The 23,797-nt window shown below is 43.6% G+C and overlaps 1 long non-coding RNA gene across 1 annotated transcript in view, besides 5 other annotated features; it reads right to left on the reverse strand.

Annotated features, from left to right (window-relative positions):
• Positions 1-4,724: 4,724 nt before the first annotated feature.
• The window catches only part of LRIG2-DT (LRIG2 divergent transcript), a 61,416-nt gene continuing 42,343 nt past the window's right edge, over positions 4,725-23,797 (reverse strand). Inside the window, exon 3 of the long non-coding RNA NR_103777.1 lies at positions 4,725-6,877. This is a non-coding gene — a long non-coding RNA (LRIG2 divergent transcript). The remainder of the gene's footprint in view (positions 6,878-23,797) is intronic.
• Positions 18,724-19,471: an enhancer, noted in NCBI's record as "H3K27ac hESC enhancer chr1:113568308-113569055 (GRCh37/hg19 assembly coordinates)". NCBI's record gives its function as "activates a minimal SCP1, AML or CMV promoter by ChIP-STARR-seq in naive H9 embryonic stem cells {active_cell/tissue: H9 hESC(naive)}" and the evidence as "EXISTENCE:reporter gene assay evidence [ECO:0000049][PMID:30033119]".
• Positions 19,472-20,218: an enhancer, noted in NCBI's record as "H3K27ac-H3K4me1 hESC enhancer chr1:113569056-113569802 (GRCh37/hg19 assembly coordinates)". NCBI's record gives its function as "activates a minimal SCP1, AML or CMV promoter by ChIP-STARR-seq in primed H9 embryonic stem cells {active_cell/tissue: H9 hESC(primed)}" and the evidence as "EXISTENCE:reporter gene assay evidence [ECO:0000049][PMID:30033119]".
• Positions 20,219-20,966: an enhancer, noted in NCBI's record as "NANOG-H3K27ac-H3K4me1 hESC enhancer chr1:113569803-113570550 (GRCh37/hg19 assembly coordinates)". NCBI's record gives its function as "activates a minimal SCP1, AML or CMV promoter by ChIP-STARR-seq in naive H9 embryonic stem cells {active_cell/tissue: H9 hESC(naive)}" and the evidence as "EXISTENCE:reporter gene assay evidence [ECO:0000049][PMID:30033119]".
• Positions 20,625-20,919: a silencer, noted in NCBI's record as "tiled region #391; K562 Repressive non-DNase unmatched - State 23:Low". NCBI's record gives its function as "represses a minimal TATA promoter and a strong SV40 promoter by Sharpr-MPRA in K562 cells {active_cell/tissue: K562}" and the evidence as "EXISTENCE:reporter gene assay evidence [ECO:0000049][PMID:27701403]".
• Positions 20,967-21,712: an enhancer, noted in NCBI's record as "NANOG-H3K27ac-H3K4me1 hESC enhancer chr1:113570551-113571296 (GRCh37/hg19 assembly coordinates)". NCBI's record gives its function as "activates a minimal SCP1, AML or CMV promoter by ChIP-STARR-seq in primed H9 embryonic stem cells {active_cell/tissue: H9 hESC(primed)}" and the evidence as "EXISTENCE:reporter gene assay evidence [ECO:0000049][PMID:30033119]".

The raw sequence follows: 23,797 nt of genomic DNA on the forward strand, positions 1-23,797 counted from the left end.
GGAAGGCCGAGGCGGGCGGATCACGAGGTCAGGAGTTCCAGACCAGCCTGGGCAACATGGTGAAACCCCATTTCTACTAAAAATACAAGAATTAGCCAGGCGTTGTGGCGCATGCCTGTAATCGCAGCTACTCGGGAGGCTGAGGCAGGAGAATCACTTGAACCTGGGAGGTGGAGGTTGCAGTGAGCTGAGATCGTGCCACTGCACTCCAGCCTGGTCGAGAGAGTGAGACTTTGTCTCAAAAAAAAAAAAAAGAATACCACTTAGCATGACTACTGCTAGAATTAGCCTCTCTCCTTACTCTAGTGTAGGTGGAGAGGTGGAGGGTTATTGGTTTATGTCCCTTCAGAGTTATCACCCTAGTACTTGGAAACTGCATGCTGTTCCCAGGAGCATCATATGCTCTCCCCCAACCATCTGCTCCATCATGGGTCCCCACTCACTTAATTGCAGATCACTGCCCCAAACTCCTGGACACACTTTCTTTTGTAGGATATTATTCCCTGTGATGGGTGTAGCAAAAGAGTAAATGTGAGGCAAGGCACATTTTTCTTTAATTCTTTATCCCCTCATTCTCCACACCTTCACCACATAAGATAGTATAAGTCTATTAGACTTAGTGAATCGTTGAAGTAACTTAAGGAAATAATATTTTAGGAAGAGGGAAAAATTAAACATAACACAGTCTGCTCTGGTTGCACAATTATAGTGCATTTGATAGGTAGGAGCTCTATTTAAGCTGTCTTCCTAGAAGTCCCATCAATACTTTCACTTAATCTCATTCATTAGGAACCTAGACTCATGGCCACACAGACTCACTGCTTTAAGAATAAAGTCTGTGTTCCACTCTCAAATTTCTCATGTCACTATGGTTTTAGCTTAATGAACTTTTACCACAAAGGCTCTACAAGGGAGGCGAGCAAAATGAGTCCCTTGCCCTGCAACTACCACCATAAAAGGAAGTCAGGTGTTGGGAAACAAAATGAGATTAGTCATACTAATGGATCAAGTTATGGATTTTTTGTACATCCAAGTTTTAGAGTATCAGTGATGGTCTTGCTAAATGACCTTTCTGATTGTCCCAGGAAAGCTATCAAGATATTACTTCCTTCCCAGGGGGTTGCCTTGTAGAAAACCTAATTTATAATCTTTTTACCCTACCCACAGGTCTGACAGTCCTGCCATTTCCTAACTTCTCCTGTGTGGTCATCCACCTACCTTTGGGAACCTCCAGTCATTACTCACAGAGTTGGTCTCATCCTGGGAACTCTCTCTTGCCTCTCCCAGTGGTTCATTCTCCAAGTCTGAGTTATTTGGTCAAAAAAACCTCCAAATGCTTCAGACAACTCTCGCAAACTTGTCATAGCTTTTGGTATTCCAGGCCACAGAAGAGCCCAGGTGGGTACATGGGCCCTCCAAGTGTTTGTTTCCTCACCACTGTGAGTGACAAATATGCTTCTTTATCCTTAAAATTGTCCAGCCAGTAACTGTTGGAACACACTGACCTAGATCCACACATGCAAACACACCTTTCAAGGGCAAATGTTAATTCACAAAGACAATTGTAAAATCTAAGCTAAAGTTCACAAATGGGAGCTGCCTTTGAAGTGAATTCAGCCCACAGACATCTTTGATTAGCACCGTGTGTTGTTGTTGTTGCTGTTTTAAATTTTTTTTTTTTTTTTTTTTTTTTGAGACAGCGTTTTGCTCTTGTTGCCAAGACTGGAGTGCAATGGCGCGATCTTGGCTCACAACAACCTCTGCCTCCTGGGTTCAAGCAATTCTCCTGCCTCAGCCTCCCGAGTAGCTGGGATTACAGGCATGTGGCACCATGCCTGGCTAATTTTGTATTTTTAGTGCAGACGGGGTTTCTCCATGTTGGTCAGGCTGTTCTCGAACTCCTGACCTCAGGTGATCCACCCACCTCGGCCTCCCAAAATGCTGGGATTACAGGCATGAGCCACCAAGCCCAGCCCTTAAAATTATTTTTAATGTCTTTAGAAGAGGCATGCAATTTCGGATGGGTGCAGCACTCACGACTGTAATCCCAGCACTTTGGGAGGCCGAGGTGGGTGGATCACCTGAGGTCAGGAGTTGGAGACCAGCCTGGCCAACATGGTGAAACCCCATCTCTACTAAAAATACAAAAATTAGCTGGCCATGGTGGCGGGCACCTGTAATCCCAGCTACTTGGGAGGCTGAGGCAGGAGAATTGCTTGAACCCAGGAGGCGGAGGTTGCAGTGAGCCTAGATCACGCCATTGCACTGAAGCCTGGGCGACAAGAGCAAGACTCCATCTTAAAAAAAAAAAAAAAAAAAGAGGCATGCAATTTCCATTCCCCACCCCCCACAGTCTCTACTCCTCCCTATTATATCTAATTGCTTCACCCATGTATAGTATAGCCTGTCCTCTGAAATAATTGGAGTTTAAGATCCCTGAATCTAAACCTGTAAGCAGGAAAATAGATATTTTCCTAATGCCCTATAATACATAAACATGTTTCCATTTTCTCCTTCTGCTTTTATTTTTATTTTTATTTTTTTGAAATGGAGTCTCACTCTGTTGCCCAGGCTGGAGTGCAGTGGTGCAATTTCGGCTCACTGCAACCCCACCTCCCGACTTCAAGCCATTCTTCTGCCTCAGCTTCCCGAGTAGCTGGGACTACAGGCACCTGCCACCTAGTAGAGGTAGGGTTTCACCATGTTTGCCAGGCTGGTCTCAAACTCCCAACCTCAGGTGATCCACCCATCTCGGCCTCTGAAAGTGTTGGGATTACAGGTGTGAGCCACTGTGCCTGGCAAGAAGGAACATTTATGGGTGCTTGGGTGTAGTAGTTAAGAGTGGTTCCACAGAGGCCGGGCGCAGTGGCTCACACCTGTAATCCCAGCACTTTGGGAGGCCAAGGTAGGCGGATCGCCTGAGGTTGGGAGTTCGAGACCAGCCTGGACAACATGGTGAAACATGGCGAAACCCCCTCTCCACTACAAATACAAAAACTTAGCTGGGCGTGGTGGCAGGCGCCTGTAATCCCAACTACTCGGGAGGCTGAGGCAGGAGAATCACTTGAACCCAGGAGGTGGAGGTTGCAGTGAGCCGAGATTGTGCTATATAGCACTTCAGCCGGGGCGAAAAGAGTGAAACTCCGTCTCAAAATAAATAAATAAACAAATATGGAAAGGGGGATGGCTAGAATGAACTCTGCAGTGCTGGATCAGAATTGGAAATATCAATGGGAGCACATAGTTTTATAAATTTGTGTGTGTGTGTGTGTGTGTGTGCGCGCGCGCATATGTGTGCATTTGTGTATTAGTGTGATAGTCTGTCCTCTGAAAGGGCCTACAAGCCATGATACTCCAGTACAAATTAGTACACCTAGAACCCAGATTGTTCTAAATACAATTCTCCCTAAAGGAACCAGGGCTTTTTTTTTTTTTTTTTTTTTTTTTTTGAGACAAGAGTTTTGCTCTTGTAACCCAGGCTGGAGTGCAATGCCACAATCTTGGCTCCTTGCAACCTCCGCTTCCAGAGTTCAAGCAATTCTCCTGCCTCAGCCTCCCAAGTAGCTGGGATTACAGGCGCCTGCAACCACGCCAGGCTAATTTTTGTATTTTTAGTAGAGACTGGTTTCACCATGTTGGCCAGGCTGGTCTCAAACTCCTGATCTCAGGTGATCCACCCGCCTCAGCCTCCCAAAGTGCTGGGATTACAGGCATCAGCCACCGTGCCTGGCCTTTTTTTTTTTTTTAAGACGGAGTCTCGCTCTGTTGCCAAGCTGGAGTGCAGCAGCGCGATCTTGGCCACTGCAACCTCCGCCTCCCTGGTTCAAGTGATTCTCCTGCCTCAGGCTCCCGAGTAGCTGGGATTCTGGGATTACAGGTGCCTGCCACCATGCCCAGCTAATTTTTTTGTATTTTTAGTAGAGACGGTGTTTCACCATGTTGGCCAGGCTGGTCTCGAACTCCTGACCTCAGGTGATCCACCCTCCTCGGCCTTCGAAAGTGCTGGGATTACAGGCATGAGCCATGGCGCCCGGCCAGAGGAAGAGGATATTTACATAGTCTCAGAGTATCTCCTCACAAGATATTTGTTAACTATTAAGGGAAAAGTAAAGGCCAGGTGCAGTGGCTCATGCCTGTAATCCCAGCACTTTGAGAGGCTGAAGTAGGCAGATCACGAGGTCAGGAGTTCAAGACCAGCCTGGCCAACATGGTGAAACCCCCATCTCTACTAAAAATACAAAAAAAATTAGCTGGTGTGATGGTGGGCGCCTGTAATCCCAGCTACCTGGGAGGCTGAGGTGGGAGAATTGCTTGAACCCGGGAGGCAGAGGTTGCAGTGAGCTGAGATCGTGCCACTGCACTCCTGCCTGGGTGACAGAGCAAGACTCTGTCTCAGAAAAAAAAAAAAAAAAGGAAAAATAGTCCTTTTAAAGTGAAGAAACCTGGTAGACATCCCCTTAACCAAGTAATCAAAGTTAACTTCAACAGTAATGGAACAAGTCAACTAATATTATGTAGGGGTCACAACATCACTTCTGTGCTATTCCTGCTAAGAATGCATAACCTGAATGTAATCGTGAAGAAACATCAGACAACCCAAGTTAGGGGACACTCTATAAAACAACTGGCCTGTAACTCCTCAAATATGTCAAGGTTGTGAAAGACGAAGTGTGGAAAATTCTATTCCAGATTGAAGGAGACTAAAGACACTTGACAACTGAACACAATGTATGATATAGAATTTATTTTACCATAATGGACATTATTGGAACATTTGAGCAAATTCAAATGAGGTCTGTAGGTTAGAAAATATTATTGAATCAATATTGATTTCTTAATTTTTATAATTGTGGTTATGAAAGAGAATATCCTTGTTTTTAGAAAATATACACTGGCGGGGCGTGGTGGCTCACTCCTGTAATCCCAGCACTTTGGGAGGCCGAGGCGGGCAGATCACGAGGTCAGGAGTTTGAGACCAGCCTGGCCAACATGGTGAAACCCTGTCTCTACTAAAAATACAAAATTAGCTGGGCATGGTGGCATATGCATGTAGTCCCAGCTACCTGGAGGCTGAGGCAGGAGAATAGCTGGAATCCAGGAGGCAGAGGTTGCAGTGAGTTGAGATCACGCCACTGCACTCCAGCCTGGGTGACAGAGCAAAACTCTGTCTCAAAAAAAAAAAAAAAAACAAAGAAAAGAAAATATCCACTGAAGTGCTTAATGGAAAGGGGCATCATGTCTGTAAGTTATTATCAAACAGAAACAAGTTCAGAAAAAAATTATGCACATACACATGCACAGAAATACAGTGAGAGAGAGAGAGCAAGTGTGCAGTAGGTATTAGCCTAGGTTGCTAGGAGAATTAAAGTTAACAAGCAATTAATTCATGACTAACACCAGAAACTTGGAGAATATGCCCAATGACCTTTTATCAAGTGCCCAGTGCCAATTTATCACTTAAGATAGCACTCCACATGGCAGAAAGACTTAAACGCCAGTAAGTCACTCTGTATGTTTGGGACATCTATAGAACACTTTTTTTTTTTTTTTTTGAAAACTCCTCTAGCAAAAAAATGTTTAAACTTTCATCTTCACGTTGGGTGATTGCAGTCATAAATTTCACACAATGATCCTGCTTGTATCATAGAATAACCCATTTTCTGATGAACAGGTTGAATCCAAATAAATTCCAAACACGTGTATAATGTAGAGTTAAAACATTTTAGACTCAAAGCTCAAAGCTAATTAAGAACCGGCATGGGCCACAGTTTGAACCAGCACCAACTTGTCTTTGCTCTGTTATTGGTTTGCTGTCTTTGCCTGTTATTCCATATCACTTGCTGGAAGGAAGCAGCCATACTGAAATACAAATTTTGTTTGTTTCTTTTTTAAAAAAGGAAACAAATAGATGGTTTATTCTAAGAATGTACAGGAACTTATATTCTAAACGTCCATAAATGCATATTCTAGGGACTCTTATCATCTCAGAACCCTACTACAGATTCTCTTTAATCTTTTTAAACATCCTGTTACATAAATTGCAGCTGTATCTATAGCAGGAAGAACAATAAGATAATAACTGGTCAAACATCAAAAGCACTTGGGTGGGTCTTCCACAAACATTTAGTCTTCTCTCCCACCAACACCATGTTCTTAGATTTTTTTTCCAACCACATTAATGTATTTTTTGTTTGTTTGTTTCTTCTTTTTCCTTTCCCCTGAGTAATTACTATGAATTTTTGCCAGGTCAAGAATTCTTCCCAGAAACAAACCCCAAGTATTAAAAAAAATCAAACAAACAGTACCTGAAGATAAGATGTACTCTTTCCAGGCCCACCCCCTCCCTTTGATTTCTTTCTCCAGATTGAGTGGGTTTAATTGGAATTGCACGTCCTCAGCGTTTCATGAAGGACAGATTTTCTATCTGACCTATGACCTGCTAGGAATTCCCTATTAACTTTCATGGGATGAATTTGGAATTGTCCTTACCACTCAGTATTTACTAAGTAAGAAATCACACAAACTCTTATGCAGGCTGTGAATCTAATGTATGTATACATATAGCAAGCATTTCTTGATGATAAAATGTTAGAGTTATGGTCGGGCACAGTGGCTCATGCCTGTAATCCCAGCACTTTGGAAGGCCCAGGCGGGTGAATCACTTGAGGTCAGGAGTTCAAGACCAGCCTGGCCAATATGGTGAAACCCCGTCTCTACTAAAAATACAAAAATTAGCCAGGTGTGGTGGTGCACGCCTGTAGTCACAGCTACTCAGGAGGCTGAAGCAGGAGAATGGCTTGAACCCAGGAGGCGGAGGTTGCGGCGAGCCAAGATTATACCACGGCACTACAGCCTGGGTGATAGGGCAAGATTCTGTCTAAAAAAAAAAAAAAAGTTAGAGTTAGGAAGAGTTTTAGAGGTCATTCAACTTGACGTCTTTTCCATAACTTTTTTTGTCAAATGGTTGCAAGCCAAAAACTCAGTTGTTATAACAAGGAGCTCCATATGGTGTTGGGCAGCTCAATCTATTGCTGGACAGCTCTCATCATAACCCTTGCTTCTTCCTGTGGTTCTCTGGAGCCTCACAGAATATGTCTACCTCTCTTCCATATGACAACCCTTCACACACTGGTAGCTGCTAATTTGTGCCAATTAAGCTGTCACCAGGTCTCATAATGATTTTTCAGATCACATTGGGAAACGCATGAACATCCAAAAGTTAATGTTTAACTCTGGAAGGTAAGATTATGGTTATGTTTTTACTTTCTTGTTTATATGTAAATTCTAAGTTTCACAATAAATATTTAATAGTGCAAACATTTGGCCGGGCATGGTGGCTCACGCCTGTAATCCCAGCACTTTGGGAAGCCGAGGCGGGAGGATCACCAGGCCAGGGGTTTGAGACCAGCCTGGCCAACAAGGCAAAACCCTGTTTCTACTAAAAATATGAAAATTAGCCAAGCGTGGTGGTGGGTGCCTGTAGTCCCAGCTACTCGGGAGGCTGAGGCAGGAGAATCTCTTAAACCCTGGAGGCAGAAGTTGCAGTGAGCCGAGATCATGCCACTACACTCCAGCCTGGGCAACAGAGCGAGACTCCATCTCAAAATAATAATAATAATAAGAAGAAGAAGAACATTTTTATTGAGCTTATTCTAGATGCCACTTCCTTTTAAAAAAGGAAACAAATAGATGGTTTGTTTTAATTACTCTACAATAACCCTGAGGGATAAGCACTGTAATTATCCCCATTGTACAGATGAGGAAACTGGGGCATAGAGGGATTAAGTAATTTTCCCAAGGCCGCACAGCTAAGTAAGTGGCTGATATGATATTGGAACCCAGGTTTGCCTGATTTTTAAGTATTCCTCTTTTTTTTTTTTCTTTGAGACAAGGTCTCACTTCGTCACCCAGGCTGGAGTGCAGTGGTGTGATCACTGCTCACTGCAGCCTAGATTTCCTGGGCTCAAGTAGTCCTCCCACTTCAGCTTCCCAAGCAGATGGGACCACAGGCATGAGCCACCATACCCAGCTAATTCTTTTTTTCTCTGTTAGAGATAGGGTCTCCCTATGTTGCCCAAGCTGCTATCAAACTCCTGGGCTCAAAGGATCCTCCCACTTCAGCCTCCCAAATTGTTGGAGCCACCGTGCCTGGCCAGCCTCCCAAAGTGTTGGAGCCAGCTTCCTAAGGTGTGAGCCACCGTGCCTGGCTGACCATTCCTCTTATAAGAAAAACAATTTATTTATTTTGGCAGCAACAAGTAGGGCGTTATTTGTTTTGTTTTGTTTTTAGTGTGGTGTCCAGAAATTAATAGAATATGCTAGATTTGATGTGAACAGCATAAAGCACACTGGGATTATTATGTCCTTTGATTTGGTGACAGTATAATATATCAATGCCCCTAAGACTGCATTTGATTTTTTACCTGTAATACAAGATTACCGGCTCATACAGAGATTACAAAAAATCCTCTGGTTCTTATTTTACTTTTTCTTTCTCCCTTGACTCTACCATCCCCCGTCTTCATCTACTACCCCATCACCTGTCCCCTCCACCCCCATAATCAATTTATCAACCTAGTTGTTAATATTTTTCTCTATGCTCATATAATCACATATAGACAAATACAAATGCACACATATTCAATGCAGTTTTTTTTGTCATTTAAAAAGTGACTACTTTTTTGCCTTTTACTCAAAACATTTTTGTGTGTAAAATCCCTCTAAGTCAACTGGTAGAGTACAAATTCATTCCTCTTTATGGATGTGCCAAAATGTGAATGTACTATAATTTTTACAACCATCACTCTATTGATGGACATCCATAGTATTCACAATTTGTGTGTGTGTGTTGCCACTTAAAATGCTGCAACAAATGTCCTTGTACATACGTCCTATAGTGTTTTTACTCCAATAGTTTTATTGAAACTAATGGTTTTTTTCAGAGGATAGATTCCCAGGACTGTAATTGCTGGGTCAAAGGGTATATATATTTTTATTTGTTTTTTATTTTATTTTATTTTATTTTATTTTATTTTATTTTATTTTATTTTATTTTATTTTATTTTTTGAGACCAAGTCTCACTCTATCGCCCAGGCTGGGGTGCAGTTGCACAATCTTGGCTCACTGCAACCTCTGCCTCCCGGGTTCAAGTGATTCTCCTGCCTCAGCCTCCTGAGTAGCTGGGATTACAGGCACGCGCTATCACGCCCGGCTAATTTTTGTATTTCTAGTAGAGACAGGGTTTCACCATGTTGGCCAGGCTGGTCTCAAACTCCTGACCTCAGGTGATCCACCCTCCTTGGCCTCCCAAAGTGCTGAGATTACAGGGGTGAGCCACCGCACCTGGCCAAAGGGTATATTTAAAATAATAGCTGTTGCCAGACTGCTTTCCAAAAAGGCTATAACACTTCATATTTCAGTAGCAGCACATGAAAATACCCCTTGCCCCCATCCCTGCAGCAATAGGTGTTATAGTGTATTCAGTAGCCATTCTAACAAAAACTGTGAAAGAAAATCAAAAGAAACTACTTCAACATAATAAAAACTATTTACCCCAAATGAAAAGCAACTATGATACTAACTGGCAAAATGTTAAAATTCTTTTATTCAAAATCAGGAACTACACAGGAGTTTTTAGTTAAGGCCAGGTGCGGTGGTGGTTCACACCTGTAATCCCAGCACTTTGGGAGGCCGAGGCGGGTGGATCACGAGGTCAGGAGATTGAGACCATCCTGGCTAACACGGTGAAACCCTGTCTCTACTAAAAATACAAAAAATTAGCCAGGCATGGTGGTGGGTGCCTGTAGTACCAGCTATTCGGGAGGCTGAGGCAGGAGAATGGCGTGAACCTGGGAGGCGGAGCTTGCAGTGAGCTGAGATTGCGCCATTGCACTCCAACCTGGGCGACACAGCAAGACTCCATCTCAAAAAAAAAAAAAAAAAGAGTTTTTAGTTAAATAAATCTCCCAAGTCTATTTCACTCTTAACTTTAAAATTAACATATAATAGGCCAGGCACCGTGGCTTACACCTGTAATCCCAGCACTTTGGGAGGCCCAGGTGGGCAGATCACCTGAGGTCAGGAGTTCGAGACCAGCCTGGCCAACATGGTGAAACCTCGTCTCTACTAAAAATACGAAATTAGCCGAGTGTGGTGGCACATGCCTGTAATCACAGCTACTTGGGAGGCTGAGGCAAAAGAATCACTTGAACCTGGGAGGTGGAGGTTGCAGTGAGCTGAGATCACACCATGGCACTCCAGTCTGGGCAATAAGAGCAAAACTCCATCTAAAAAAAATAATTAATTAATTAACATAATACACATATAAAATGTGCACAAATCCTAAGTGCACACATCAATGATCAATGAATTTTTGCAAAGCAAACATATTTATATAACTACCACATAGGTCAAGAAAGTTATTACCAGCACTTCAGAAGCCTAACTCATGCCCCCTTCCTCCTTCCTATAGAGAACCAGTCCTGACTTTTAACACCACTGAATAGTTTTGCCTGGATTGGAAACATACATACATGTGGCATCATGCAATCTATACTCCTTTGTGTGTGTTTGGTTTATTTCTTTCAACATTTTCTTTGTGAAGTTTCTTCATGTTTCTGATAGCAGTAGTTCACTCACTTTCATTGCTGTACGATAGTTTATTGCTTGAATAATATACCACAATTCAATGTCCATTCTGTTGTTGATGAACTTTCAGGTCCTTCTGAATCTGAAACCCATCATCCAATATGTTAGCCATCAATACTCCCAGCTTTGTGTCATCAGAAATTTGGATGATCACAACATTTCTGATACAAATCATTGACTTTTAACTGTTTGACAGGACCAGACAGACTTGTATCAGCCAACTAGAGATCTCCCTTCAGGTTAACCTTAATACTAATAAATATTATTTGGACAAAATTTAGTTAGCTAAAACTGTAGCTATCTGTAGTATCATTCAATGTACCTTTCTGCATTTCAGAGGCCGAGATAGGAGATTCACTTGAAGCCAGGAGTTTGAGACCAGCCTGGACAACCTAGTAAGACCTCATCTCCACAAAAAATTTTAAAAATTAGCCAGGTGTTGTGGTACATGCCTGTAGTCTTAGCTACTTGGGAGGCTGTGGCAGGAGAATCACTTGAGCCCAGGAGTTTGAGGCTACAGTGAGCTATGGTCACACCTCCACATTCCAGCCTGGGCAACAGAGCAAGATCGCATCTTTAAAAAAAAAAACAAAAAACAGGCCAGGCACAGTGGCTCACGCCTGTAATCCCAGTATTTTGGGAGGCCGAGGCAGGCAGATCACAAGTTCAAGAGTTTGAGACCAGCCTGGCCAATATAGTGAAACCCTGTCTCTACTAAAAATACAAAAAAAAAATTAGCCGGTCGTGGTGGTGCATGGCTGTAATCCCAGCTACTTGGGAGGGTGAGGCAGGAAAATTGCTTGAACATGGGAGGCGGAGGTTGCAGTAAGCTGAGATCATGCCACTGCACCCCAGCCTGGGTGACAGAGCAAGACTCCATCTCAAAAAAAAAAGCAAAAAAAGGCTGGGTGCGGTGGCTCACGCCTGTAATCCCAGCACTTTGGGAGGCCGAGGTGGGCGGATCATGAGGTCAGGAGATCGAGACCACCCTGGCTAACACGGTGAAACCCTGTCTCTACTAAAAATACAAAAAATTAGCCGGGCATGGTGGCGAGCACCTGTAGTCCTAGCTACTCGGGAGGCTGAGGCAGGAGAATGGCGTGAACCCGGGAGGCGGAGCTTGCAGTGAGCCGAGATCACACCACTGCATTCCAGCCTGGGCGACAGAGCGAGACTCTGTCTCAAAAAAAAAAAAAAAAAAAAAAGCAAAAGAACCATAAGTATTTGTGGAGGTCTACTGAGTTCTAGGTACTGAGTGGGGTTAGAGAAGTGGAAAAAACAGACCACACCGAGACTCTCACGAAATTTACATTCTAGTTGATGAGATAGATGTAAATAAAAATTCAGGTCATTTTATGAGGAAAGTGAAATGGAGCAACACTAAACAGAATAATGAGGAGAAAGGCACACAACTTCTGAAGGCACTAGCCATGTGAAGACTGGGAGTATACCATTCCAGGCAGGGGAACAGCAAGCACAAAGTCCTTGAGGAAGGGATGGGCTTAAAAAAACAAGGAGGGCAGTGTACCTAGAGCAAAATGTGAACAAAGGCAAGTAGAGGAAAGGTAGACAGAAACTAGATTATGTAAGGTCTTGAAATTCTTTTATTTACTCACTTACTTTTTTAGAGATGGGGTCTCCCTGTGTCACCTGGGCTAGGGTACAGTGGCTATTCACAGGAGCAATCATAGCACACTGCAGCCTGGAACTCTGAAGCTCAAACAATCCTCACCCCTCAGCTTCCCAATAGCTGAGACTACAGACTCACACAATGTGCTTGGCAAGGCCTTTTATTCTAAATGCAGTGGTGAGATGGACAAGAGATGTACCATCCATATCCTCCTTTAAGGAAGGACTTGATGCCCAGATGTAAAGAGTGTAGTCACCAAACAGCCCTTTCAGAATCTGCCCCAGACACAGAGAGCCCCACTGCTTAAGGATATACCCTTCTTAGAGCAGATCGCTTCTAGAGACTAAGTGAGCAGGGTTATAAAGCCCCAGCTATTTTAACCTAACAATTCTGACGGATAATACTCGTTTTTCAGAGCTCCTTGATAGGTTGGCCAAGGCTATTTTTGGTCTGCATCACTGATTTCTTCCTCAGTCCAACTCAGATTTCTCTTTCTTCCTTGTCACAGATGTTAAACCTTAATAACATGTTGAATCCCAAACTCCACCTCTGCATCTGTGACAAACTTAACCTGTGACAAATGGGAAGCCATAAAAGGATTTTTTTTTTTTTTTTTTTTGAGACAGAGTTTCACTCTTGTTGCTCAGGCTGGAGTGCAATGGCATGATCTCAATCTTGGCTCACCGCAACCTCCGCCTCCCAGGTTCAAGTGATTCTCCTGCCTCAGCCTCCCTAGTAGCCTGCCTAGTAATAGGCATGTGCCACCATGCCCGGCTAATTTTGTATTTTTAGTAGAGACAGGGTTTCTCCATGTTGATCAGGCTGGTCTTGAACTCCTGACCTCAGGTGATCCACTCACCTTGGCCTCCCAAAGTGCTGGGATTACAGGCGTGAGCCACCGCGCCCGGCTGCCATTGAAGGATTTTTAAGCAAAGAATTCAAATGGCCTGATTTACATTTTAGATCACTCTAGCTGCTGTATAGAGGATGGACTGTGGGAAATAAAAGTGAAAACAAGACCAGTAGCAGTAGCCCAGGGGAGATGGTGGTGATTTGATCTAGGGAGGAGAAAGTGGGAAGTGGATGGATTTGGGATATAATTTGGTTGTAGAAGTGATAACTGCGCGGTGGCTCACGCCTGTAATCCCAGCACTTTAGGAGGCCGAGGCAGGCGGATCACCTGAGGTCAGGAGTTCGAGACCAGCCTGGCTAACATGGTGAAACCCCGTCTCTACTAAAAATACAAAAAATTAGCCAGGCGTGATGGCGGGCGCCTGTAGTCCCACCTACTCGGGAGGCTGAGGCAGGAGAATGGTGTGAACCAGGAGGCAGAGCTTGCAGTGAGCCTAGATAGCGCCACTGCACTCCAGCCTGGGTGACAGAGCGAGACTCCATCTCAAAAAAAAAAAAAAAAAGTGATAACTGGTTCATCCCAACCATTTTTATCAGTTACCTTGCAGAAAACAAATTTAGTGTGTTGAAGGAAACCAAAATATTTCTCGCTAAAATACTGGGGATTTTAGTTTAAAAGCTTAAAACACATGGGCACACTGCCCTTCCTAACTCTGCCTTCATCCGCTCAGAAACAGCTCAGCGGTGCCAGAGGATCCAGGAGCAGACTTTACTCTTCCCATTAATTTACCTTCCCACATTTTCCTGCCTTTTGGAAGCCTAAAGATACTCTTCTTTGTTTCAGCACTTCGTAAGATTCATGGCTCTGGCCAAGTACGGTGGCTCACGCCTGTAATCCCAGCACTTTGGGAGGCCTAGGCAGGTGGATTGCTTGAGGCCAGGAGCTCGAAACCAGCCTGTCCAACATGGCACTACCCTGTCTCTACTAAAAATACAAAAATCAGCCGGGCGTGGTGGCACACGCCTGTAACCCCAGCTACTCGGGAGGCTGAGGCGCAATAATCGCTTGAACCCAGGAGGCGAGGTTGCAGTGAGCCGAGATCATGCCACTGCACTCCAGCCTGGGCGACAGAGCAAGACTCTGTCAAAAAAAAAAAAAAAAAAAATTCATGGTTCTTTGTTAAAATACTATTTAAACAAGGTCCCTAAGCCACTGCCTGGAGAGAGAAATACTTTTGAACTGAGGCCTCTCCCACTTGATGGGTACAGCATGTTAATAAACTTGTTTTTCTTTTGTTAATCTGACGCTTGTTTTCAAGTGTCTCAACTAAGAACCTAAAAAGGGTAAAAAAAGAAATGATGTTTTCTCTCCAACAGTGTGTTTTTATTTCTTTCATCTACCTGTCCAGTAATCATTTTAAAAAAGAAAATAGCATTAGTTACTGCCTGTGTGATGTGGCCCCTGCTTATCTGCACTCTCCCTCCTGTTTACTGTTCCAGCCACCTCAGCTTTTTCTCTGTTCCTCTAGCATGGCAAGCTTATTCCTGCCTCATGACTCTTTCGCATGGTGTTTTCAGATTTTCTCTGTAGCACTCTGCACGCATTGTCCACCTAAATTCTATTCATCCCTCAGGTAGCAGTTTAAATACTGTGTCCCCACAGAGGATTTCTCTAGCACTGCCTCCTCTCCCAGTGAAGCTAGTTCCTGTAATTATGGGCTCACATAAATCCCTGGGTTTTCTTTTTTGGCACTTATCACAAGCTGTAATTATACCATACGTTTTATTATTTGTCTTCCTCACCAGAGTTCCACAAGGGGCAGGAATGTGCCTGTTTTGTTTTCTGCTTCATCCCTTGTGTCTTGCACAGTAACTATAACTCAGAATTTGCGCAACAAATATTTGCTGAATGAAAGAACTTGCCCGTAGCGGCCCCTTGTTAGTGCCTAGAGTCAATTTCTTTACATGCTCGTAAAACATCTTTTGATAATCCATGCCAAAATGTTCTAGAGATCATTGAAAATTTTCCTACTAGTTTTCAGAATGTAATTTTTTTCCACCTGGGGAACTTTTTTTTTTTTTTTTTTTTTTTTTTTTTTTGAGATGGAGCCTCCACCGTGTCTCTACTAAAAATACAAAAAATCTCTCACTGAGTCTCACTCTGTCACCCAGGCTGGAGTGCAGTGTCAAGATCTTGGCTCACTGCAACCTCCACCTCCCAGATTGAAGCAATTCTCCTGCCTCAGCCTCCCAAGTAGCTGGGTCTACAGGTGCCAGCCACCAGGCCCGGCTAAGTTTTTGTATTATTAGTAGAGACGGGGTTTCACCATGTTGGCCAGGCTGGTCTCGAACTCCTGACCTCGTGATCCATCCGCCTTGGCCTCCCAAAGTGCTGGGATTACAGGTGTGAGCCACCGTGCCCAGCCTGAGAACATTTTTTAAAATAAAGTTTGATTATTGTATTGTATACATATATATATATATATATATATATATATATATATATATATATATATATATTTTTTTTTTTTTTTTTTTTTTTTTTTTTTTGAGATGGAGTCTTGCTTTTGCCACCGTCCAGGCTGGAGTACAGTGGCACGATCCCGGCTCATTGCAACCTCCACCTTCTTGGTTCAAGGGATTCTCCTGCCTCAGCCTCCCAAGTAGCTGTGATTTCAGGTCCCGCCACCACGCCCAGCTAATTTTCAAATTTTTAGTAGAGATGGGGTTTCACCATGTTGGTCAGGCTGGTCTCAAATTCCTGACCTCAGGTGATCCACCCAGCTCGGCCTCCCAAAATGCTAGGATTACAGGCGTGAGCCACCACACCCAGCCTATATGGATGTAATTTTAAGGTAATACCAAATATTTATAACAACAACAAAACCCTACTCTATTCCACAGTCTTACTCTCTAGATATGCAACTACTTAAGCTAAGCAGGTTTGGTCAATCTCTATCTTTAAAGGAAGTCTTTTTTCATACTTAAAAAATCAAAGACATTTTACCCTCTGACCCTTTCCCCACTGTCAATAATTTCAATAGTATTTCCATTTGCGGTTTGCAACACCATTGGCAATTTCTTTCAGTATCTTTTAGTATTGGGGACTAGAAATTTTACTTTTTAAAAATTTATTTATTTCTTATTTTTTATTTTTCTTTTTTTTTTGGTAGAGATGGTGCCTCTCCATGTTACCCAGGCTGGTCTGAAACTCCTGGTCTCCCAAAGTACTGGGATTATAGGCGTGAGCCACCACACCTAGCCTAAATTTTAATTGTTTTAAAAGTAGCAGAATATCTCTTATTATCTCACCTCAATGGTGTTACATTTCTTTTCTTTTCTCTTTTTTTTTTTTGAGACAGGGTCTTGCTCTGTTGCCCAGGCTGGAGTGTAGTGGCACATTCGTAGCCTCAGCCTCCTAGGCTCAAGGGATACTCCTGCATCAGCCTCTTGAGACTACAGGTAAGTGTTCCCATGTTGAGACAGGGTTTCACCATGTTGGCCAGGCTGGTCTCAAATTCCTGACCTCAAGTAATCCACCGGCCTCGGCCTCCCAAAGTGCTGGGATTACAAGTGTGAGCCACCATGCTTGGCCTGATTTCAGGATTTTAAATGTGATATGTTTCCCCACAAGCCCCACATTTTCCAGAAGAGCTAGCTTGACACAAACTAAATTTTGCTCATGGGTGAAATGTAAAGAATTTATAATCAGCCGGGTGCAGTGGCTCACGCCTGTAATCCCGGCACTTTGGGAGGCTGAGGCGGGCGGATCATGAGGTCAGGAGATCGAGACCAGCCTGGCCAACATGGTGAAACACTGTCTCTACTAAAAATACAAAAATTAGCTGGGTGTGGTGGCATATGCCTGTAATCCCAGCTACTCAGGAGGCTGAGGCAGGAGAACTGCTTGAACCGAGGAGGTGGAGGTTGCGGTGAGCCAAGATTATGCCATTGCACTCCAGCCTGGGCAACAAGAGTGAAACTCTGTCTCAGAAAAAAAAAAAAAAAAAAGAATTTATAATCAAGCAGCTTCCTCCCCTCCCCAATGCCCTGCCACTGATCCCTTATGAACATTATTTAGGAAGACCCTTTGCCTCTACTTGTTTTTTAAAAAGTGAAATAACAGAAAGTGAAGAGGTTTTCTCAGGATGTTAGCAATTCTCCACTGTTAAGCAGGTCTTCTCTAGGTTTACAACAGAAATAGCTAAGGAGGCAGAGCTCACACCTACTTTGTCTATCTTTCTAATACTGAACAAAACCTTTACTCAATTTTGCTGCTTTCTAATGATTCTGTCCTATTTCTACTCTTTTTTGGCAAACTCCTCTAGCAAATTATCTGCGCAGTTATCGTCACCTCTTAATGTCAAATAACAAATAATTTGGTTTTAGTCTCTATTGAAATATAATTAAGGGCCATTATCTACTCCTGAATAGCCACATTAAAATGCCTCTTCTCAGTCTTTACTGAGTTCCCTATTGAGTTTGTTATTGCAAACCACTCTATTAAGGAATGGTTTTTCTTCTCTTTATAATTAAAGAAAATTACATGAACAGTATAGCAACATTAATACAGCTCTAGATAAAAGACAGAAAAAGTCACCCACAATGTCACTACCCATCCAAAAGTAAACATTTTTTAAAAGTTGTTGTTGTTGTTTGAGACAGAGTTTCGTCTTGTTGCCCAGGCTGGAGTGCAGTGGCGCAATCTCTGCTTACCACAACCTCCATCTCCTGGGTTAAAGCGATTCTCCTGCCTCAGCCTCCTGAATACCTGGGATTACAGGCATGTGCCACCACACCTGGCTAATTTTGTATTTTTAGTAGCGACAGAGCTTCTCCAACTTGGTCAGGCTGGTCTCAAACTCCTGACCTCAGGTGATCCGCCCTCCTCGGCCTCCCAAAGTGCTAGGATTACAGGCATGAGCCACCGCGCCTGGCCAAAAAATTATGTTTATAGGACACTAGTGGCTGGGTGCGGTGGCTTAGCCTGGCCAGCATGGTGAAACCCTGTCTCTACTTAAAATACAAAAACTTAGTCAGGCATGGTGGCGTGCACCTGTAATCCCAGCTACTCAGAAGGCTGAGGCAGGAGAATTGCTTGAACCTGGGAGGCAGAGGTGGCAGTGAGCCGTGATCGTGCCACTGTACTCCAGCCTGGGCGACAGAGTGAGACTCCATCTAAAAAAAAAAATTCTTCACATTTCACCCATGAGCAAAATCTAGTTTGTGTTAAGCTAGCTCTTCTGGAAAATGTGGGGCTGGTGGGGAAATGTATTATATTTAAAATCCTGAAATCAGGCCGAGCACAGTGGCTCACGCCCAGGTAGGTGGATCACCTGAGGTTAGGAGTTTGAGACCAGCCTGACCAACATAGTGAAACCCTGTCTCTATTAAAAATACAAAATTAGGCCGGGCGCGGTGGCTCACGCCTGTAATCCCAGCGCTTTGGGAAGCCAAAGCAGATGGATCACCTGAGTTCGGGAGTTCGGGACCAGCCTGACCAACATGAAGAAACCCCATCTGTACTAAAAATACAAAAATCAGCCGGGCATGGTGGCGCATGCCTGTCATCCTAGCTACTCGGGAAGCTGAGGCAGGAGAATCGCTTGAACCTGGGAGGCAGAGGTTGCGGTGAGCTGAGATCATGCCATTGCACTCTAGCCTGGGCAACAAGAGGGAAACTCCGTATCAAAACAAAAAGGCTGAGTGTGGTGGCACATGCCTGTAATCCCAGCTATTTGAGAGGCTGAGGCAGGAGAATCGCTTGAACCCAGGAGGCAGAGGTTGCAGTGAGCTGAGATCGCGCCTTTGCACTCCAGCCTGGGCAACAAGAATGAGACTCCATCTCAAAATAAAATAAATAAATAAAATAAAATCCTGAAATCAGTTAAGCCTTAGTGAGGGTCTCTTAGGGCCTCCCCAGATGGGCGTATGTTTTCAGGAAGAAAGTAGAGAGAACAAAAATGACAAGGGGGCCGGGCACGGGGGCTCATGCCTGTAATCCTAGCATTTTGGGAGGCCGAGACGGGTGGATCACCTGAGGTCAGGAGTTCAAGACCATCCTGGCCAACGTGGTAAAACCCCATCTCTACTAAAAATACAAAAATTAGCTGAGCATGGTGGCATGCACCTGTAATCCCAGCTACTTGGGAGGCTGAGGCACGAGAATTGCTTGAACCGTGGAGGTGGAGGTTGCAGTGAACCAAGATTGCACCATTGCACTCCAGCCTGGGCGACAGAGCGAGACTCCGTCTCAAAAAAAAAAGACAAGGGAAAATAATGATTAGGTTGATGAACAGAAAGGCCCTTAGGCAAAATTATGCTTTTCCTATGTAGTTCTGGAAGTAATGTCCTCCTCTTAGTTTAGCAGAAAGGATTACCTCTCACTGGCAGAATTTCTTGCTAGGTAGAAAGGGAAGGTAGAAGCAAGCCAGTGGAGATGTATTTTTACAATGCATTGGATCTTTCCGCACTTCTCAGATCACACTATGTAAAGAGTACCCTCTTCCAACACATAGAACACTCTTTATTTAGGCCAAATCAAGATTTCTGGATACTCTATAATGGTCAGGCTGGATAAACGGTTAGGGAGGGAAGGAAAGGGACTTTTCACATCATATCTGTTATATCTTTTAAATTTTGTATTATGATCATGTGTCATTTATTGAAACAGTAAGTTGTTACTTTAAAGACTCAATTAAGGCTGAGTAGTGAAATTTAAGATTTAGTTTTTTGGTCAGCATAGCCTCCAGTATTTATTTCTTTCCTTGCCCAACTTGTTCATCCGCTTTGTGATTTTGTACTGTGGAGTTTTAGTTTAGAGACCTCTCCCTGCAAGTGATACCCCCAACCGAAGTTATCAAATCTAATCTAAACAGATCAATTTATGCGTGACATTTCATTTTCTTCCATAAGCTCTGTTTCCCACCAGCAAACAAAACATCTTGTTAAAACAGAGACTGTCCACTTCAAGCTTCAGATGAGAATTACAGTCAGATTCCAGCCCTGCTATTTACTAGCTACGTGACCTTCTGCAGGGCATGTTACCGCTCTGGGATTGGGTTTCCTCATGTGGGGCTGTAGAAGGTGCACTCAATTTACTAGATAGAGGTCAAAGGATGTACTTCAACTTCTGGCTCTGCCACTTTGTTGCTGTGCGACCTTGGACATGCTGCTTGGCCTGTAAGCTTCCGTTTCTATAAAATAGGGATAACGCTTCCTTCCAGGGAGGTTTTGAAAGTGGGATGAGGGATCTAAGATGCCTAGGACACATGAGTGCTTAAGCCATGTTAGTGTCTTCTCCTTTCTCTTCACCTGTTTCTTTCTGGGCTGTTTTTGTTTGTTTGCTTTTACTTTATAAAATAAGAACAGTGAACTACCTATTATGCAGATCTCCTGCCTTTCATAATGCTTTATAAACTGTGAAGCAGAAAGCAGAATGTGTGGTTGTTTGGGCACCAGGAGGACAAAGGTCCCCAGGCTTTGAATTTCTCTGACCTCTCTAAATTGTGTTTGAATTCCAGAGAAGAGCTCTGTTTTTCTAGGTGAGAATTAGGCAAGCTTTTCCTGGAGCTCACCCCAGTCAGCACCCTGAGGGCTGAGGGCTGAGGGCTGAGGGCTTCCCTTCCACAAGACCTCCCTGTCTTTGTGAGGCTCAGCATCACAAAGCCACCTGGGGAGTCAAGGGTAGGTATTGTTCTTCAGAGACACCTGGATGCTGGCTCACTCCCTGAGGAGGAGGGAAAGCTGCTCTGGCCTTTGAAACATTGTATTGAAAACTCACACACAGAAGCCAAAACTGACAAGGATGATAAGCTGCTAATATGCTAATAATAATAATAATGAACTATGCCTGTTCTTCACATACTGTGCTCTGAGAGAGGTTAAAATGCCTTTAGGCCAGTACTTTGATTTTTTTTTTTTTTTTGAGATGAAGTCTCAAAAAAGCTCCGTCACCCAGGCTGGAGTGCAGTGGCATGATTTCGGCTCACTGCAACCTCCGCCTCCCAGGTTCAAGCGATTCTCCCACGTCAGCCTCCCGAGTAGCTGGGACTACAAGCACACGCCACCATGCCTGGCTAATTTTTTGTATTTTTAGTAGAGATGGGGTTTCACCATGTTGGCCAGGCTGGTCTCCAACTCCTGACCTCAGGTGATGCACCTGCCTCGGCCTTCCAAAGTGCTAGGATTACAGGCACAAGCCACAGTGCCCGGCTAGGTAGAAGTTTAGAAGAGTTCATTAAGACTCTGCCACTCGGTGGATTTGTAACATGTATTAAACATTAACCCTCTCTGGGCCTGAGTTTCTCTATCTTAAGATGAGGAAAATTGGTGAAATAATACCTAACACACTTCCTAGCTCTAACTAACTTTGCTAGGCCAGATGCTTACAAATTGAAATTCTTTGATGTCAACCCTGTCTTATTCCTTGGACAAAGGGGAAGAGAAGAAAGGTCTTAGTTTTTACAACGCAACCAGCATGTATCAGGCATTATATGAGGGACTTTATGTACACTAATGTATACACTGATTTCTAGCACAGCATTGCTTTGTTAATTTGACAAATGATCTTCTAAAAGGGTGGGCACGTGTGCCAAGGGTACTATCACAAGGTTCTCTAATTTTAATCTTATCAAGGAAACAAGTAATCAAAAGACAGAAATGGGAGGCAGAATTAGTACATAATTTTAAATTTGCATTGGTGTGATACTATACTAGACACTGGAAATAAGGTAATCACAGTTAACCTACTAAACAGATATTTTACTTGATAGCAATAGAGAATACATAATATGTCTAAATCAAGTATCCTGTATAAATCACAGGTGAGCTATTTCTCAACACATTATTTGTTTCCTTCCTTCTCTACTTAAAAAAATTATACACATAATTCATAAATCATTCTCATTATAAAAGGGTCAACAACATAGAGCAAAGACTTAGGGGTCATTCTCTACTCAGCCTTCCTTTCAGCCCCCAGCCCCTTACCTCACTCTCTCACCACCCAATCCCCTTAACAGAGAACCACAATGATGTATATTCCAAGTCACTTTCAAGTTAAATTTCATTATTGGTATCCTTACATTTTCCTTTAAGAAAAAAGAAACTCTGGGCCAGGTGCGGTGGCTCACGCCTGTAATCCCAACACTTTGGGAGGCCGAGGAGGCTGGATCACGAGGTCAAGAGATTGAGACCATCCTGGCCAACATAGTGAAACCCCATCTCTACTAAAAATACAAAAATTAGCTGGGCGTGGTGGTGCACACTGTAGTCCCAGCTACTCGGGAGGCTGACACAGGAGAATTGCTCGAACCCAGGAGGCAGAGGTTGCAGTGAGCCGAGATCTCGACACTGCACTCCATCCTGGCAACAGAGCGAGACTCCGTCTCAAAAAAAAAAAAAAAAGAAAAACTCTGAAAAGGGTAAGGAGGAAGTGGGATTCAGTAACCTACAAAGCATTTAGGCAGGACGCTTTTCAAAATGCAGTTGGCAGAAATGGAAGTTGAACTGAGTGTGGTTTCCAGTACAGGGCATCTGGCCACCTTCACCTCAGTAAATACTGCTGATCGACTCTCTCTGGCTCTGGCTGTCCTGCCAGAGACAGCCAAACACAGGAGACATGACAAATTACTATCATCTTTTGCTTCTTTATTTTTATTATTATTATTTTTCTTTTTGTGGAGAACAGCGTCTTGCTGTATTGCCCAGCCTGATCTCAAACTCCTGGGCTGAAGCTGTTCTCCTGCCTCTGCCTACCCAAGTGCTGGGGTTACAGGTGTGAGCCACTGCACTCGACCTTTATTTTTATTCTGTATACTCATCAGTCCCCTTGTGCCCTGATAATGGCTAGAAATAGGAGTTTCTCTTATATACAGTAGCAGGGACACACTTTCTCTCCTTCTCTTTCCTTTCTAAAGGACAATGTCAAGGACATGTCCAGGACAGGTCAGAGAATGTTATATCAGAGATACTGCTGCTATATTTACCCCCACTTGCCTTTCAAGCAAAGCAATTTATATGATTAAAAACAAAACAAAACAAAACAAAAAACAGCAGAGGCAAACTGTCCTGGGTATCTTCAGAGAAGAAAAACATTGAATTTTAAAGCTATATTTTACTTTGCAGTAAATTTTTCTGGGGGCTAAATTTCCTTCTTCTCTTTGTTTTTACTTTTTAAAATTCTCTTAGGAGAGAGTTAAAGAGATGTATTAGCCGGGTGCAGTGGCTCGTGCCTGTAATCCCAGCACTTTGGGAGGCCGAGGCGGTGGGGAGGGATCACCTGAGGTCAGGAGTTCAAGACCAGCGTGGCCAATATAATGAAACCCCGACTCTACAAAAATACAAAAATTACCCAGGCATGATGGCGGGTACCTGTAATCCCTGCTACTTGGGTGGCTGAGGCGGGAGAATCACTTGAACCCAGGAGGCAGAGGTTGCAGTGAGCCAAGATCGTGCCACTGCACTCCAGCCTGGGCAACAGAGCAAGACTCTGTCTCAAAAAACAAAACGAACTGTAACCCCAGTCAGCAAATAAGAGTTCCAAATTTTAGATAGAGAATGCTGAGAAAATTAGGAGGGTGTTAGGGGAAGCTTTAAAGGAGAGAGTGGTATTTGAGACGGGAGGGGGCAAGAAGACATTCCAGATAGAATAAAGAAAGGTGCAGAAG

Source organism: Homo sapiens, chromosome 1 (genome assembly GCF_000001405.40).
Source record: "Homo sapiens chromosome 1, GRCh38.p14 Primary Assembly".
Lineage (NCBI taxonomy): Eukaryota > Metazoa > Chordata > Mammalia > Primates > Hominidae > Homo > Homo sapiens.